Here is a 16,412-nt window from a genome sequence, read left to right as displayed (position 1 = left end):
ACAGAGGCGCCAGAGAGGAAGAAAATTATAAAAGATGAGAGAAAGGTGGAAAGGATATGGAAAGGTAGAAATCAGGGAGGGACAGGAAGAGGAGAGGAACACCAGAGGTTGGAGACAGGAGATTAAACTGATAGATAAAGAGGAGTAAAAGTGGACAAAGAAATGTGAGAGGAGGAGGGTCAAAGTGGGGACGTGAATTAAAGAACAGTGAGGCAGGAAGGGTGGACGCAGAGATGACAGGCGGCCTTCCTGCCGGCCTCAGGCCTCCCACAGCAGCACTCACCTGGGCCTGGGCATTGGGCTCCAGCCGAAGCAGACAGCCCACCTGCAGGGCTTTAGTCTGGATGATCCCCGCCCCCACGAAGTTCTCAGGGTTGGGGTCCACATTGTCCAGGAGAGCAGAGCCAAACCCCAGAAGCTGGGAGGAGGGGGGGCGCCGTCAGAGTGTGCCAGAGCTGTTAGTTACCACACAGTGGCATCCCAGATCCCAAAAAACCCTTGGGGATGGGAATTGGCCCCACTTTACAGATGGGAAAACAGAGGCTCAGAGAAGCAAAGCAGCCATAGGCCGGCAAACACGCCCGCGGTCTCTCACCTTGGCCTTAGTAACTTCTGCGTCCATGGGGTGGTTGGCTTTGAAGATTTTCTGCGCCTCCTGTTGAGGGCTGGGGACCGGGAAGGTTCAAGTCAGGGACCTGGACGGCCCGACCCGCCCACCCAGAGGCGCGGCTTTGGCTCCGCCCCCTCCCCACCCCTCACAGGCTCAGCTGCTTCCAGCGCTGGAAGAAATCCTGGGCCGCCATCTCGGTGGGCTGGAAGAACTTGTTGATGGTCACTGGGAGCTTCAGGGTGAGGGCCTGGGGGGCGCCACCGTACCTGATGAGGTGAAAGGGAGGCTCCATTAGGCCCCGCCCCTCACCCCGGAGGCTCCGCCCACCGGCCGCGCCGTACCTGACTCACCGGAAGCGCACGGACAGCAGCGGGGGCGTCAGGAAGTCCCGCAGGCACTCGATATTGAGCACCTGCTGCACCTGCGCGCCGCCGTCCACCTGCGCCGCCACGCGCTTGGTCTGCACAGCCAGCTGTGCCCGCCAGGAGTCAAGGAAGCCAGACAGAGGAGGTGGGCCCCCGGGAGGTCTGGGTCAGGAACCCCAGAGCTCCCGGCAGCTCCCGCCTGCAGGTCTTTGAGGGACCCCATGGTGCAATCCTGGACTCAATCCTACAAGGTTCAACTACAAAGTTCATACTATGGAAACCTCTGAGGCGCCCCCTAGGTGCCTCCTTTGGCCTTCCACAATGTCACACCGCACTGAGACATAATAGTATTAGCTCTGGAGGCTGACTTGGGTTTGAATCCCAGCTCTTAACCACCTGAGTGGCTGTGGGCAACCACTTAACCTCTCTTAGCCTCTGGACATGTGTAAGCCTGGGCAACATGGCAAGACCCCATCTCTACAAAAAAATTAGCCAGGCATGGTGATGTGCACCTGTAGTCCCAGCTACTTGGGAGGCTGAGGCAGGAGGATGCCTTGAGCCCAGAAGTTCGAGGCTGCAGTGAGCAGTGTTCATGCCACTGCATTCCAGCTTGGGTGAGTGAGGCCCTGTCTCAACACAAGGACATGTGTAAAATGTCCTCAGGAGTTGATGAAATAATCCAGCCGGGTGTGGCGGCTCACGCCTGTAATCCAGCACTTTGGGAGGCCAAGGTGGGGAGGATCACTGAGCCCAGGAGTTTGAGACCAGCCTGGGCAACATAGCGAGGCCTCAACTCTATTTAAAAAAAGAAAAGAAAAGAATCCATCACAAGTACTTGTCTGTGTGCCCGGCACATGGTAAGTACACAAAGATGGTAGCAATTAGTGTTATCATCATCTGCATCCGTGTCAGTAGCCCACTGGGAAGGCCTGGGTCTCATGTTCTTTTGTCACTGCCTCCACTGAGCTGCCTGCACGAGCCTCTGGAAATTATGAAAGAAGGAATTTTTTTTTTTTTTTTTCCTGAGACGGAGTCTCGCTGTCGCCCAGGCTGGAGTGCAGCGGCGCAATCTCGGCTTACTGCAACTTCGCCTCCTGGGTTCACGCCACTCTCCTGCCTCAGCCTCCCGAGTAGCTGGGACTACAGGCGCCCACCACCACGCCCGGCTAATTTTTTGTATTTTTAGTAGAGAAGGGGTTTCACCATGTTAGCCAGAATGGTCTCGATCTCCTGACCTCGTGATCCAACCACCTTGGCCACTCAAAGTGCTAGGATTACAGGCGTGAGCCACCGTGCCCGACCGAAGAAGGAATTTTTTCTTTTCTTTTTCTTTTTTTTGAGACTGTCGCCCAGACTGGAGTGTAGTGGTACAATCTCGGCTCACCACAACCACCACCTCCCAGGCTCAAGCGATTCTCCTGTCTCAGCCTCCTGAGTAGCTGGGATTACAGTCGCGTGCCACTACCACCCAGCTGATTTTTGTATTTTTAGTGGAGATGGGGTTTCACCATGTTGGCCAGGCTGGTCTTGAACTCCTGACCTCAAATGATCCACTGGCCTCAGCCTGCCAGTGCTGGGATTACAGGTGTGAGCCCCCATGCCCGGCCAGAAGGAGTTTTCAGGTCGAGCTTTTCTAATTTCATGAATGTGGCAATGGAGGCCCAGAGAACGGGCAGGGGGGACTGATACCTCCAGCCGCCCTTCCAGGGTTTTCCAGACACTCTGATCTTCACAATAACCCTATGAGGAAGAGGAGGGTCTACATACACTTCACAGCGGGGACAGGAGAGCCCAGAGAGGCAAAGTGACTCAGCCCAGATCAGGCCTGATCAGCGTCTGGACCCGCAGGCCTGGCTCCTGAGTGCAGGCGGTGCTGGCATCATGACATGGAGCCCAGTGGAGGACGATGGCAGGACACGGAAGGTGCCAGACAGGGACAAAATGAGGCCTGGAGCAGGTGGAGTTCTGGAAGTAAAGCCTCCCACACACCACTTCACTGTCATCCCCTGTCCTGGGGGAAGGAATCCCACCCCCATCTTAACAGATGCAGACACTCAATCTCAGAGAACTAATTGCGTGCCCAAGAGAGGCTGAAGAGAAGTGTGGACCTGGGTCAGCCGGCTTCCCCACGGTGAGGAAGGCCGACGTGGAGAGGCAGGAGGCTGGGCCGGGCCTGAGAGGATATGAGTCTGGAGGTCTCCCGGGTGAACCACAGTGGGTGAGAAATTCTGGAACTGCACCGAGGTCTTGTTGCCATAGAAGAGATACATGCGGCCTGCAGTAGGTGGGGGAGGCAGAGCTCCATCTGAGTCCCTCTGACCCCTTCCCCAAGGTCTCCCTCCGACCCATTCCCACAGTCCCCCGGGACACACCCAGGTTCTGTCGGAACTCTGACTTGACTCCGATCTGCAGCAGCTGGTTCTCGAACAGGACCCCGTTGTTCTTACACACAAACCTGAGGGGGCAGGGGGCGCAAGATGACGGGGGTGCCTGTCTGCACCTGGCCTGGGCTCCGCACCTGTCCCGTTCCCCTCCCCCACCACTCCCAGGACTCACTTATTCAGCAACTCATCGGCTTCCGGAATGGGAGGGCCGATGTCCTCAGGACCTGGGCTGGAGGCATGGAGCAGAGTGAGATGGGAAGGAACTTGGTGGGGAGGGGCAAAGGCCCAGAGCGATTGAGTGCGAGAACAAGCCCTAAGGACAGAACCCCAGAACCACATATCCAGACCCCTCACAGAGCCTCGAGGAACCTCGCATCCATCCAGCAGTGGCCTCCAATGGGAATAGAACCCTGGCCCGTGCCCCCGCATCGGCAGACACCAAGTTTCCCTTTCCTCCAAGTCCCTGCCTCTGCTGCTCATCAGGAACCCGTTGACGAGGGCTCCCAGTCCCCTAACTCTCCCTGGGGACACCCGAGTCCGCCCCCCCGACCGACCTCCCACCCCAGGCCACCCCTTACTCAGCAGCTGGAGCTGGGTCAGCCAGCAAAGCCATGGGGCTCTCGGGGGCAGGCGGCTCCAGCTCGCTGAGCCATCCAATCCCAGAGCAGACAAGAGAAGACAGGCGTGGCAGGCAGCCAATTCCACATAGGCAGCGAGAGGGCAGAAGAGAGACAGAGAGGGAGGGACGGAAGAGGGAAGGAGAGAAGGAGAAAAGGAAGAGCAGGCTGAGAAACGGTGACAGGAAAGGAGACAACGAAGGGTGGCCAGGGTCGGCGGAGTCCAGAGTGGCAGAGGGAGGGCGTGAGCAGGGAGGCTGGGGCAGGGGAGGCAGCAGCCAGGGCTGGCGAAGGCATCAGGATGGAGAGAGGAGCGAGTCGGGGGCGGGGGAGGGGCTCAGGGAAAACGGGGACAGAGGCCGAGAAGGGACAGCCCTGGGGGTGGCCGCGAGAAGGGGCCCGGGCCCAGGGGGTGCTACCTGAGGAAGGCCTCCTCGGGGGTGGGCCCCAGGCTGGGCTGGGCGGCCGGGCCATCGAAGACGTCCACCAGAAGGTTCCCTGCTCCTGCAGAAGCCGGGGGTGCTGCCGGGGGAGGGGCTGCCCGCAGCCCCAGGAGGTCGGCGGAGGGCGAGGGCGTCGACTGTAGGAAGCGCAGGTCACGGTGAGGACAGGCGGCGCCCGGCAGGACCCAGCCCCAGGCACCCTGGCAGGGCCCACCCCAGGGGACTCACCACAGTGCTGGGGGTGGGCTCCATGCCCCCGTTGATGTCGTTGCTGCTGGGGTCCCTCCGGCCATCGTCCAGGGCGCTGCCGGCCCCTGGCCCCTTCTTGCGTTTCAGCTTGGCCAGGATGGACGACTCGCGCTCGGGGAAGGGCGGCATCTCCTCCAGCACCGTGGCCTGGCGCGGTCGGGGTGGGGAAGGTCAGTTCGGGTCAGGAGGAGGGGAGGGCGGGAAGGGGGTGTGCAAGAGGGGTGGGGTGGGGGGACAGGGCTCTGACCAGGACGTCGGTGCTGGCCACTGAGCTGAGGGTGAGGTACTCCACGGCTCGCTGCTGCAGCTCCACGTCAGCATTGCGCAGCTGGGAGCCGGCCCGCAGGACGCCCTGGATGGTGGCCTTGGTCTCGGGGAAGAGGTTGATGAACTTGATGTAGGTGGACAGCAGCAGCGCCCGCGTGGCCACGCTGCACAGATGGAACTTGGAGTGGAGCAGGGAGAACTGCACTGGGGGGCTGTGTGCAGGAGTGGGTGTCAGCGGGGCCAGGTTCCACTGCCCTCTCCCAGAAACCCCCTCGAGAGGTGCCCCTCCCTAGGATGGACCCGTCCCAGGACCCCAAGCTGCTGGAGGGGAGTGGCCCTCCCCAGGCACCAGACAGGGGCCGCAGTCACACTCTGTCCACGATCCTGGGACTAAGCTCCTTTCTTACCCTGCTAGGTGGATTGGGGTGGAGGCCGAGAGGATGGGAGCCCATCACTGCCTGCCCTGAGACCCCTGGGGATCCCCCAAGCCCTGGACCCCTCAGAAGCATGTGTGTTCTCCCCTGCAGGCTGAGGCTCCCTCACCTGGAGCGGGGGTCCCCAGCAATCAGGTTCCCAAACTCCCCAAGGATGTAGCCGCCAACCTTCACCATGTTCTCGTGACAGGCAGGGGCCTGGAGCGCCTGAGTGGGGTGGGGAAGGGCGTGGAGAGGACAACAATGAGCGCCCTCTCCGGGATCGGTGGGTGCAGCCACCTACTGACTGGTGGAACACTGAAAGCTCTGCTGCAGGTGGGGTTATAGGTGGGAAACTGAGTCACAGAAAGGTTGAGTGACGGGCCCAAGCTCACACAGGAAGTAAAACAGGGCTGTGGGCCGGAAGCAGTGGCTCATGCCTGTAATCCTGGTACTTTGGGAGGCCGAGGCGGGCAGATTGCCTGAGCTCAGGAGTTTCAAACCAGCCTGGGTAACATGGTGAAACCCCGTCTCTACTAAAAATACAAACAAATTAGCTGGGTGTGGTGGCGCGTGCCTGTAGTACCAGCTACTGGGGAGGCTGAGGCAGGAGAATGGCTTGACGCTGGGAGGCCGAGGTTGCAGTGAGCCGAGATCGCACCACGGCACTCACTCCCCACTCCAGCCTGGGCAACAGAGTGAGACTCCGTCTCCAGAAACAAACAAACAAACAAACAAAAAACAGGACTGTGTGGGGCCCCTTTCCTGGGGCAGAGGGAAACTACCGAGATCCGGGGGCCAGGACTGCACACTGGGTGCCCCATGCCCATGCCCTGGGGACTCCTCACATCAGGCCCATGAGACCATAGCCCTGGGTCCCCTGGGTTGGCCCAGAGAGGCAGAGGCCCCATTTTGAGGTCACGGCAGTGCAGGAGAAGGAGGGTGGCTGCGGGCTGGCAGGCGCCACGGCCCCGGCCATCCTTGCTCTGCCTCTAGGTCCTGTCGTGGGGTCATAGGGTCAGGGTCAGGGATGCTGACCTCAAAGACGGTCTTGGCGGCATAGCCCTGGACGTCATCACGGTTGGTGACGATCTGTAGCACACGGTACCACACCTCCTCACTCACGTAGTCGCCCGCAATGCGGATGAGGTTGAGGATGGTGTCCACGTACCAGCTGTAGTCCACGGCGTACTTCTCGGCCAGGATGGCCACCTTCAGGACCTGCCGCCGGGGCGTGTGAGAGAGAGTGTGCCGCAGGCCATGTCGGGCTTTCACTCACCTGGATCTGGGCTCACCACTGCCCCCATCTGGAGACCCAGGAGTCCAGGCCCCAGCCCCTCCTCCCTTAGACTTAGGAATCCAGGCCCCCAGCCACCTCCTGCCTCAGACCCAAGAGTCCAGCCCGCACCCCACAGCACTCACGATCTCCTCGCGGATGGCGTAGTCTGCCGTCTCCAGGTACCGCAGCATCTCCGACACGATCTGCTTGGCATTGCTCCGGTCACACATGGCGTAGAGGAGGTCAGCCGCCCGCTGCCGCACGCTGACGTCCCGCTCCGTCTGAGGGCGGAGAGCAGAGCCCAGGTGTGTTTTAGACTCCCTGTTGGCACAGGGTTGGCCACCCAAGGGCCTCTGAGCCTCTGGTCTTTCTGAGGGGGGTGGCAGGCCCGGGGTGGGCTCCAAGGGCTCACACCTTGAGGGCATTGATGACGGTGTCAATGTGCGTCTTGACGGCTTCATGGGAGAACTCGGAGCTGGCCAGCGTGCACATGCTCTCCAGGGCCAGGTAGCGCAGGTTGGTCTCCCGGTGCTGCAGGAACTGGCCCAGCTGGTTGCAGGCCCGAACCAGGAGGTTGGGCTCACTGCCAGCAGGGGCCACAAGAGAGGGATGGTGAGAGAAACTGACAGGAGAAGGTGGAGGACTCGGGCCCCAGCTGACCCATCTCACAGCCCCCAAGGATCCAGGTCTTAACCTTGCCGGCCTTGCATCGCAGTACTGCACCTCCAGTGACCCAGACAACTGGGCCTTTGAGCCCAGAGAAAGATACCTAGCAATTCTGCCCCCAGGAAGGGCCCCAGCACCAACCTCACAGGTGACACTTCACAGCCCCATCCTCCTCCTACCCTACCTAAAAGTCAAGATTCCCTGCCCTCTGCCTAGGACTCAGGAGTCCGGGCCTCCATGCCCCTCTTTCCTGGCCCCAGGCATCAGGCCCTGATAGGCCCAGGCGGGCACCTGTCATAGTGGATGATGAGGCTGATGGTCTCGAAGAGGATGGCGTTCTTGGCGTTGGAATGCTGCACCTTCTTGGATTTGGGGGGCTCCTGGGCCTTGTTGAGCACAGTCTCCAGACATTCCACCAGCCGCCCCTTCACAGCCGCATCCTCTGGGGAAACGAAGGGGACGCCCCCGGCTGAGTGTCCTGCCCACCTGGCACACCTGCTGGGGTGGTGGCCATGCCCCAGCTCCTGTCTTCCAAAGGAGGAGCTCGGGGTGCCTCTGACACTCGAGAATTCTGCAGCTCAGGGCCAGGGTCTCTGCTCCCTCAACCTCTTCCCAGCCCAGCAGAGATGGTGAGACAAGGCACCTCTGGAGACACAAGATCTATCCCCAGACCTGGGCTCTCCTCCTGCTCTGACCCTCTCGGGCAAGAGGTGGCACCATGTGAGCCTCAGTTTCCTCATCTGCAGCTCTGAGGCTCCTTAGGTTTCTCACAGAGCAAAGGAAGCTCCAGGAACCTTCCCCAGAGGTGCCCCCAAACCCAGGCCTTCCCAAGGACTGGTGTGAGTGCTGAGCAGCCCCTGACAAAAATGCACAAGCCACCCACCCAAGTGTCCATTCAGCAAGAGGCCACTGCAGGCACACTCGGTGCCATCCTCCTGGCCTAGAGGCTGGGAGGCCAAAGGAGACAAGGCTCAACCAGGTGCCCCCTCACCCCCCAGAGCTCTCCACCACTGACAGATGCCAGCCAGCAGCTCACAGGAGCACCAATCACCACGTTTCCTAGAATGTGACGTGTTTTCAAGTGTATGCAAGAGCTGTCAAGCGTTCCAGCAAAAAATGGTTCCGCAGATTTTTCTGCAGAATTTTCCGCAGGAAAATTCACCAGATAGAGGAACAAGCTAAAATACACCACAAGGCAGCAATGAGCCCAGTCGCCACCATGGGACACACAGCAATGGCATCTCCTGGTTTCTCCATAAACAGGTGTAGGGGGGCTAGTCCAGACTACGAGAAATAACAAAGACAGAATCCAATTTAAATCCTATTTTTTGGAAACAGGGCAACTATGTTGTCCAGTCTGATCTCAAACTCCTGGGCTCAAGCGATCCTTCTGCCTCAGCCTCCCAAAGTGCTGGGATGACAGTGTTAGCCACTGAGCCTGGCAGAATCCGATTGAATATGTGATCCTAGATTGTACTGTGATATATATTCTGTTTTTTTATTTTTTTATTTTTTTTTGAGACAGAGTCTCACTCTGTCACCCAAGCTGGAGTGCAGTGGCACAATCTTGGCTCACTGCAACCTCCACCTCCCGGGTTCAAGCGATCTTCCCATCTCAGCCTCCTGAGTAGCTGGGACTACAGGCATGCACCACCACACCTGGCTAATTTTTTGTATTTTTTGTAGAGATGGGGTTTTGCCATGTTGGCCAGACTGGTCTCGAATTCCTGAGCTCAAGTGATCCTTCTACCTCGGCCTCCCAGATTGCTGGGATTACAGGCGTGAGCCACTGTGCCTGGCCCAGAACAACATATTTAAAGGCAAAACATCATGATGTCTGTAATTTACTTTTAAATATTTCAGAAGAAAATAAACAAGAGCATGCATACATGGCAAAATGTGAAGTCCAAGTAATGAAATCTCTGTACTTATCTGGATGCTGGGAAACTTTTCATAATGCATATGACAAAAAAATGACTTGCAAACAAATTGGCAATAGCCCACCACCATTTGCTGAAAAGGAGGTGACACAGGGTTGGTGTGTCCTCAGGCCCAGCCTCAGGACAAGGCTGTGTCTCCAGTTCCTACACCACCGAGGGTTGGAGTGGGTGAGGTGCCTGCAATGGGTGTACCCCAGAATTACCAGCTGGGCCTTCTGGGGTGGTCATGGGCTTAGAGCATGACTTAAGCCCTTCTTGACAGGACGAAAAAGAGGCCCAGAGAAGGAAGACATGTCCCCAGGGCCACACAACAGAATTCATCACTGGCTTCACACACGATGGGCCTCTGGTGTCACCTCCATATCGTATACTCAGAGTGTGTACACACACACCATGTGCAGAGGGACATGCATGGACACACGTAGATGCTGGCAAGCATTGAGACACGCACACACAGGCATGCACACAGGTATCTACACTCATGTACACATCCACTTGCATGCACAGGTACACATGTAGATGCACACACTGATATATACACATGTACACACATAGAGGGACACAGAGATACCATGAACACTGCCACATATAGACACAGACACGCATACATACAGATGCACACACAATGACACATCCACACACAGGGGATGCACGCAGACATGCATGCACACGGGCAGGTATCGACACACACAGGCGAACGCATGCACGCATGCAGGCATGCACACAGACAGGCATGCACACCCAGAGATTTGGTGGTGTACATCAGCCCTGGCCCCTGGCAGGTGCTGGACATGCTGGCTGAATGGAGGGAACTGGTGCATTAGCACCTACTGTGTGCCAAGCCCCTCAGCACAGGGTCCGAAGAAACTGCTCCATGAGGTCAGTCAGCCAAGGCGACAGAAGCTCGGGGGAGCTCAGTGGCAGAGGGAGGGGTTTAGAGCAGAGAGTCTGGGGGCCAACTGCCACTTACTGCCTAGAATGGTGATGTCTCACCTCCAAGCCTCAGTTTCCCTGTGTGCATATCACACTGGCTGTTCCTCCTTGCCAGCTCTGTTCGGCAGGTGCAGGTGCCCCCTGCCCAGTGCCTGGCTCACTACAGGAGTTTCATACACACTGGCTATTGTGACTGTGAGCAGTAGGGGAAGGTTCCCAACAGATGTGAAAACCCCTGACAGGGCTATGGTAATTCAGGTAGCACGGCCTGGAATCACCCACTGACCGGGTGAGTGACGCTGGGCCAGGAGCTCCCTCTCCAAGCCTCAGATTCCTCATCTATAAAACAGGCACAGTTAACAGTCCCTCGCAACAGGGCTGGAGTGAGAGCCCGGGTAGCAGGGACCTCAGCTATGAGGCTGATCCACGATGCTGCACAGGGTAGGCGCTGGGCCTCGGGCTGCCTGCTTGCCTCCCCGAGTGCAGCCACGTAAGGGGACAGAGGAACCGCCCCAGCTTCAGAGAAATCCTGACCCAGACCCTCCAGTCCCACCTGGTGCGCCGTGGAGCAGGAGGCCCCCAGATGCCAGCAGCAGGCCACCCCGGGTTGGGGAGTGCACGGCGTTCATTACCTGGAGGCGGGTAGCACTGCAGCAGCCGCAGGAGCTTCACCGAGAGCCAGGGTGCTGGGACGAAGTAGTAGGTGTAGTCCTGGAGGTCGGTGGAGGCAGAGGAGACGATCTGGCGGGGAAGAGCAAGAAATAAGTTGGGGGCTGGGGTGGGAGGGGCACGTGGGTCCACATGCCAGGGTGGAGCAAATGGTGCCTTCCAAGGGCAGTGCTGTCAGTGTTAATGGTTTTGTTAGTGGGTTTTTTTTGTAGAGACAGGGTCTCACTATGTTGCCCAGGCTGGTCTCGAACTCATGGCCTCAAGCAATTCTCCCACCTCAGTCCCGCAATGTCCTGGGGTTACAGGCATGAGCCACCATGCCCGACCAATGCAATGGTTTTATGAAGCAGGAATCTGAGGCTCTGGGAAGGGAGCGAGGAAGCGTCAGGCACACTGAATGGGGGCAAAACTAGGACTAAGCCCGGCTGGTTGATCTTTCCAAGTAATGCTGGTGTGTGGTGGGCAGGAAAGGTCTCTGCTGGTTCCCTTCTGTGTGACAGTTTCCCAGGGCCCCCTCCTCACTCGGCTCTGAGCCTCCCATGCCCCAGGCTTCCTCCGTCAGAGCACACAGCGCACCGGCTCCTGGAGGCTGTTTCCTGTAGTCCCCCTACAAGGCTTGAAGCCACTCAGGGGCAGGGATTGGGTCTGACCCTTTTTTGGGTCCCTAGGCCTAATACAAGGTCAGATAGGAAGAGGTTCGGGGAAGAGGCAGGGAATTAGTGAAAGATTGAAAGATCATGGCCAGGTGCAGTGGCTCACGCCTGTAATCCCAGCACTTTGGGAGGCCAAGGTGGGTGGATCACCTGAGATCAGGAGTTCAAGACAAGCCTGACCAACATGGTGAAACCCCATCTCTACTAAAAATACAAAAATTAGCTGGGCGTGGTGGCACATGCCTGTGATCCATGCTACTTGGGAGGCTGAGGCAGGAGAATTGCTTGAACCCGGGAGGCAGAGGTTGCAGTGAGCCAAGATCACGCCATTGCACTCCAGCCTGGGCAATAAGAGCGAAACTCCATCTCAAAAAAAAAGAAAGATCATGTGACTTTTTTTCCTCATTGCAAACTCCTATTCAACCTTGAAAAGCCCTTCTCCAGGAAGCTCTGTCCCACCTCCGTGCTGGTCTGTGTTCCTACCTCACTGTCATCCTGGCACACTGCAGTACTCAGATGTGTGATGAATGAATGAAACAATGACTGAGGCTGAGTGCAGTGGCTCACACCTGTAATCCCAGCACTTTCGGAGGCTGAGGCGGGAGGATCACTTGAAGCCAGGAGTTTGAGACCAGTGTGGGCGACAAAGCAAGACCGATCTCTACAAAAAATACAAAAATTAGCCAGGCACCTGCAGTCCCAGCTACTCGGGAGGCTGAGGCGAGAGATCGCTTGAGCCTAGGAGCCAGAGGCTGCAGTGAACCATGGCTGCACTACTGCACTCCAGCCTGGGCGACAGCAAGACCCTGTCTCAAAAAAAAAAAAAACCTGAGAAAGAAACAATGAGTGGGCCAGGCGCAGTGGCTCACGCCGGTAATCCCAGCACTTTAGGAGGCCGAGGCGGGTGGATCACGAGGTCAGGAGATCGAGATCATCCTGGCTAACACGGTGAAACCCTGTCTCTACTAAAAATACAAAAAATTAGCCGGGCATAGTGGCAGGCGCCTGTAGTCCCAGCTACTCGGGAGGCTAAGGCTGGAGAATGGCGTGAACCTGGGAGCTTGCAGTGAGCCGAGATCGCGCCACTGCACTCCAGCCTGGGGACAGAACGAGACTCCGTCTCAAAAAAAAAAAAAAAAAAAAAAAAAAAGAAACAATGAGTGGATGCACGAGCTGGTGTGTTCTTCTCTTTGCCTGCGAATCCAGGCCTCTTCCTGACTGCCCAGGAGATGCGCATGTGTATTCTAAGTCTCAATTCTGGGATCGCCGCCCCCAGGAAGCCTTCGTGGACTCACAGGCTGTGTTAAGTGCCTCCTATGGGTGACCTATCCTACCTCCATTATAGCACGAGTCACCCCTTTTCTGACAATCTGTGACTGAGTCACCTCCCTGCCAGAAGGACAGGGAGCTCCTTAAGAGCAGAGCTTGGTTCTGACTCATCTGTGTCCCTGGTGTCACCCGACATGGAGCCTGGCATGCACAAGGCCTCAGGGGATGTTCCTGGGCAGGACAGGAGCAAAGGTGGGAGAGGGACGCCAGGCAGGAGTGAGAGGCTGCACAGGAAAGAGAGAGGCGGGAGGCAAAGCCAGAAGAGGGAAAGTGGGAGACAGAGAGAGAAGTGGGAGAGGGAGGAGGTCATGAGGGCGGCTGGCTCCCGGGGTGCTCGGCCCGCGAGGCCCTGTTCTGAGCACTCTATCCACAGCGCTCTGTGCCTCCAGGTGGGCACCGGTATTATCCCCACTGAACACAGGGGGCAGCTGAGGCCAGGGAGGTGAAGCCACTTGTCCAGGGCCACCCAGCCAGGAAGAGGCCGAGCCAGGATGAATCCAGCTCAGAGCCTGAGTTTGTAAACCTTGGGCTGGGCTGCCTCTCAGGGAGAGTGGGGGCCTGAGGGGTGTCAGAGGGCATAGGGATGCCAGGGCCACCTCCAGCAGCCAATATCTAGGCCACACCCACCCGGCTCAGGCGCGACACAGCCAGAGAGACGCACGTCTTGAAGTCATCTGGGTTCTTCTTGCAGAGACAGGTGATGAGGCTGACGGCGGCCGTGACCACACCCTGCAGGGGCAGAGGAGAGACAAGTCAGGCCCCTGGGGGAGGTGGTACCTGAGAGCAGAGGCTCAGGAGCGGGACAGGGTCGGGATGTGTGTGCAGTCGGGAAGATGGGGTTTAGGGGTGTGCACATGTGTCACTGTGCGTGCTTTAGGGGTGGGGTGAGGAGGCCACGGGGCCTCGGGCGCCATGGCCAGCACTGACCTGGGTGTGTGGGGTGTCCCTGGCAGGACCCCAGGCAGCTGGGTAAGGAGCAGTGAAGGGGCGAGACTCTAGAGGGTTGGGACTGTGGGGGTGGGACAGTCAAGGTTTCTGCGCTGGTGCGCAGGTGATGGGCGCTGTTGGGGGAATCTCCAGGTATTAGAAACAGAGTGGGATTTTCTAAGGGACTGGGTGGTTGGTGAGGGGTGTGGGGGTCACTGGACAGGATCCCTGGCCAGCCAGGGGAGTGTCAGAGATGGGGATGGGAGGGTTTCTGGACACTTGGGCAGGTAATGAGTACCGGGGACACTGGATCATGGTTTCTGGTGTCTGGTGAACGTCAGCGCCGAGGGGGAAGCTCCAGGAATCCAGGGGGATCAGGGCTGAGGTGGGAGCCCCAGGCATCCAGGGGGCGTGAGGGCTGAGGTGGGAGCCCTGGGTATCCGGGGGCGTGAGGGCTGAGGTGGGAGCCCTGGGTATCCGGGGGCGTGAGGGCTGAGGTGGGAGCCCTGGGCATCCAGGGGGCGTGAGGGCTGAGGTGGGAGCCCTGGGTATCCGGGGGCGTGAGGGCTGAGGTGGGAGCCCCGGGCATCCAGGGGGTGCGTGGGCTGAGGTGGGAGCCCTGGGTATCCGGGGGTGTGAGGGCTGAGGTGGGAGCCCCGGGCATCCAGGGGGGTCAGGGCTGAGGTGGGAGCCCTGGGTATCCGGGGGTGTGAGGGCTGGGGGCTCACCATGTGCTGGTCATTGAGCAGGTGTACCACACGCGCCGTCCACTCGCCCATGGGCACCAGGTCAGGCGAGGCCTTGTACAGTCGAAGGAGGCACAGGGCCGCACTCTGCTTGACACTGTCCATGCTGTCCCTGTGGGGACACCATGCAGGGCAGGGGAAGCAGAGTCAGTGACCCCAGCCCTGCACACCTCCCCTCCTCTCCTGTTCCTCCCAGGAAGGGTGTGCGAGGCCAGCGAGAGGGACAGACAGCCAGGCGGCCGCAGGATCCAGTCTGGCGCTGACCTCACGGCCCACCAGGACTCAGTGTCTTCATCTGCAAAATGATTGCATCTCAGTAACCTCACAGGGCTCAGGAACATGTCAAGCCTGGCTCTGCACCTTCATTCATTCACCAAGCACCTACTGGGTGCCCATGGGGTACCAGGCACTGCTGTTCACTCCATGGATAGAGTGGTGAATAAAGTGGTCCAAACACTTGTCCTCACAGGGCTTACATTTCAGACAGCACCACGAAAACACATACATCAAATACTGTCAGGGCTGGGCATGGTGGCTCACGCCTATAATCCCAGCACTTTGGGAGGTCGAGGTGGGAGGATCACTTGAGGCCATGAATTCAAGACCAGCCTGGGCGACAGTGAGACCCAGTCTCTTCAAAAATACAAAAATTAGCTGGGTGTGGTGGCGCAGGCTTGTAATCCCAGCTACTCGGGAGGGTGAGGTGGGAGGATTGCTCGAGACTGGGAGGTCGAGGCGGCAGTGCACCATGACTGTGCCACTGCACTCCCTCTAGCTTGGGCAACAGAGTTAGAGCTGTCTCTAAATAAATAAAAAAATTTAAAAATAAACAAAACAGAGTAACTTAAGGAGGAAAGACTGAAAATCCTCTGCAACAGAACATCCCAGGCAGAGGGAACAGCCTGTGCCAAGGCCATCAGGAAGGCGGAGCCCGTGTGTAGGAGGAGCAGCAAGGAGGCCTGCAGGCTGCGGCCTGAGCCATGGGGCAGGAGGGCTGCAGATAGGACAGGGAGGGAACAGAGAGCCAGACCCTGCAGGGCCTTGTTGGCTGAAGTGAGGACTTGGCTTTTTACCGATTGGGAGATGAAAGCCGCTGTGGGTGGTGAGCAGAGAATCAGCGTGATGTTAACACGACAGCAGGAACAGCTGCCCCCGGACCCCTTCGGCCTGTCCAGCACTCCCACAGGTCTCTGGGTGGATTCACACGTTTATCTTCTCTCCACAACAAACTGAGAAAATGGGTGTATTTTTGATCTGGCTTAGGTTTTTAAAGGGTCCCTCTGCCTGTTGTGAGGGAACAGACTTTGCAAGGCTCTTTTGAATCCAAGGGAATATATTCACAGGTTCTGGGGGTTAGGGTGGCTCACGCCTGTAATCCCAGCACTTTAGGAGGCTGAGGTGGGAGAATCACTTGAGCCCAAGAGTTGGAGACCAGCCTGGGCAACATGGTGAGACCCCCATCTCTACTAGAAATATGAGAATTAGCCAAGCGTGGTGGCGCATGCCTGTAGACCCACCTACTTGGCAGGCTGAGGTGGGAGGATCGCTTTAGCCTGGGAGGTGAAGGCTGCAGCCTGGGTGGCAGAGCAAGACCCTGTCTCCAAACAAAAAAAAGGGTGGGGGTACTTTGCAGATATGATAAAGTTAAGGATCATGAGATGGAGAGAGGATCCTGGGTGATCCAGGTGGACCCAATGTCATCACAGGGTCCTTATAAGGGAAAGATACAGTTCAGAGTCAGAGATGATGTGAGGATGGAACAGAGGTCAGGCAGGAGAGAAGATGCCACACTGCTGCCTTTGGGGATGGGGGAAGGGGCCACGAGCCAAGGAAAGCAGGTGGCCTCTAGGAGCTGGAGAAGGCAAGGACGCGGCCTCTCCTCTAGGGCCCCCGGAAGGGACGAGCCCTGCCCACGCCTTGAT

General features: G+C 58.1%; 1 protein-coding gene, 1 long non-coding RNA gene and 1 other non-coding gene across 6 annotated transcripts in view, besides 3 other annotated features; 1 reads left to right on the top strand and 2 right to left on the bottom strand.

Annotated features, from left to right (window-relative positions):
* The window catches only part of AP2A1 (adaptor related protein complex 2 subunit alpha 1), a 40,114-nt gene that overhangs the window by 578 nt on the left and 23,124 nt on the right, over positions 1-16,412 (bottom strand). For 2 of the 4 annotated variants that reach the window (NM_014203.3, XM_011526556.3), the window contains exons 5-23: positions 14,473-14,602; positions 13,445-13,546; positions 10,799-10,907; positions 7,585-7,735; positions 7,042-7,210; positions 6,771-6,908; positions 6,387-6,569; positions 5,479-5,576; positions 4,916-5,147; positions 4,648-4,815; positions 4,396-4,556; positions 3,938-4,003; positions 3,532-3,588; positions 3,348-3,430; positions 3,161-3,250; positions 961-1,084; positions 760-876; positions 596-665; positions 284-418 (exon numbers count right to left, since the gene is read on the bottom strand). In NM_014203.3, coding sequence (NP_055018.2) covers positions 284-418; positions 596-665; positions 760-876; positions 961-1,084; positions 3,161-3,250; positions 3,348-3,430; positions 3,532-3,588; positions 3,938-4,003; positions 4,396-4,556; positions 4,648-4,815; positions 4,916-5,147; positions 5,479-5,576; positions 6,387-6,569; positions 6,771-6,908; positions 7,042-7,210; positions 7,585-7,735; positions 10,799-10,907; positions 13,445-13,546; positions 14,473-14,602 — 2,383 coding nt within the window. The remainder of the gene's footprint in view (positions 1-283; positions 419-595; positions 666-759; positions 877-960; positions 1,085-3,160; positions 3,251-3,347; positions 3,431-3,531; positions 3,589-3,937; positions 4,004-4,395; positions 4,557-4,647; positions 4,816-4,915; positions 5,148-5,478; positions 5,577-6,386; positions 6,570-6,770; positions 6,909-7,041; positions 7,211-7,584; positions 7,736-10,798; positions 10,908-13,444; positions 13,547-14,472; positions 14,603-16,412) is intronic. The other 2 variants (NM_130787.3, XM_011526557.4) reach the window with 1 other exon arrangement.
* Positions 2,950-3,463: an enhancer, noted in NCBI's record as "H3K4me1 hESC enhancer chr19:50306331-50306844 (GRCh37/hg19 assembly coordinates)". NCBI's record gives its function as "activates a minimal SCP1, AML or CMV promoter by ChIP-STARR-seq in naive and primed H9 embryonic stem cells {active_cell/tissue: H9 hESC(naive and primed)}" and the evidence as "EXISTENCE:reporter gene assay evidence [ECO:0000049][PMID:30033119]".
* Positions 3,464-3,979: an enhancer, noted in NCBI's record as "H3K4me1 hESC enhancer chr19:50305815-50306330 (GRCh37/hg19 assembly coordinates)". NCBI's record gives its function as "activates a minimal SCP1, AML or CMV promoter by ChIP-STARR-seq in naive and primed H9 embryonic stem cells {active_cell/tissue: H9 hESC(naive and primed)}" and the evidence as "EXISTENCE:reporter gene assay evidence [ECO:0000049][PMID:30033119]".
* Positions 5,813-6,313: an enhancer, noted in NCBI's record as "H3K4me1 hESC enhancer chr19:50303481-50303981 (GRCh37/hg19 assembly coordinates)". NCBI's record gives its function as "activates a minimal SCP1, AML or CMV promoter by ChIP-STARR-seq in naive H9 embryonic stem cells {active_cell/tissue: H9 hESC(naive)}" and the evidence as "EXISTENCE:reporter gene assay evidence [ECO:0000049][PMID:30033119]".
* Positions 6,387-9,191, top strand: LOC124904742 (uncharacterized). The gene is made up of 2 exons (XR_007067290.1): positions 6,387-6,932; positions 8,980-9,191. It is a non-coding gene; the product is annotated as an uncharacterized LOC124904742 (long non-coding RNA).
* MIR6799 (microRNA 6799) lies at positions 14,603-14,671 on the bottom strand. The gene has a single exon (NR_106857.1). It is a non-coding gene; the product is annotated as a microRNA 6799 (primary transcript).

This window comes from Homo sapiens, chromosome 19 (assembly GCF_000001405.40).
Source record: "Homo sapiens chromosome 19, GRCh38.p14 Primary Assembly".
In the NCBI taxonomy this organism is placed as follows: domain Eukaryota; kingdom Metazoa; phylum Chordata; class Mammalia; order Primates; family Hominidae; genus Homo; species Homo sapiens.
This window is presented reverse-complemented; position numbering and strand designations above follow the sequence as displayed.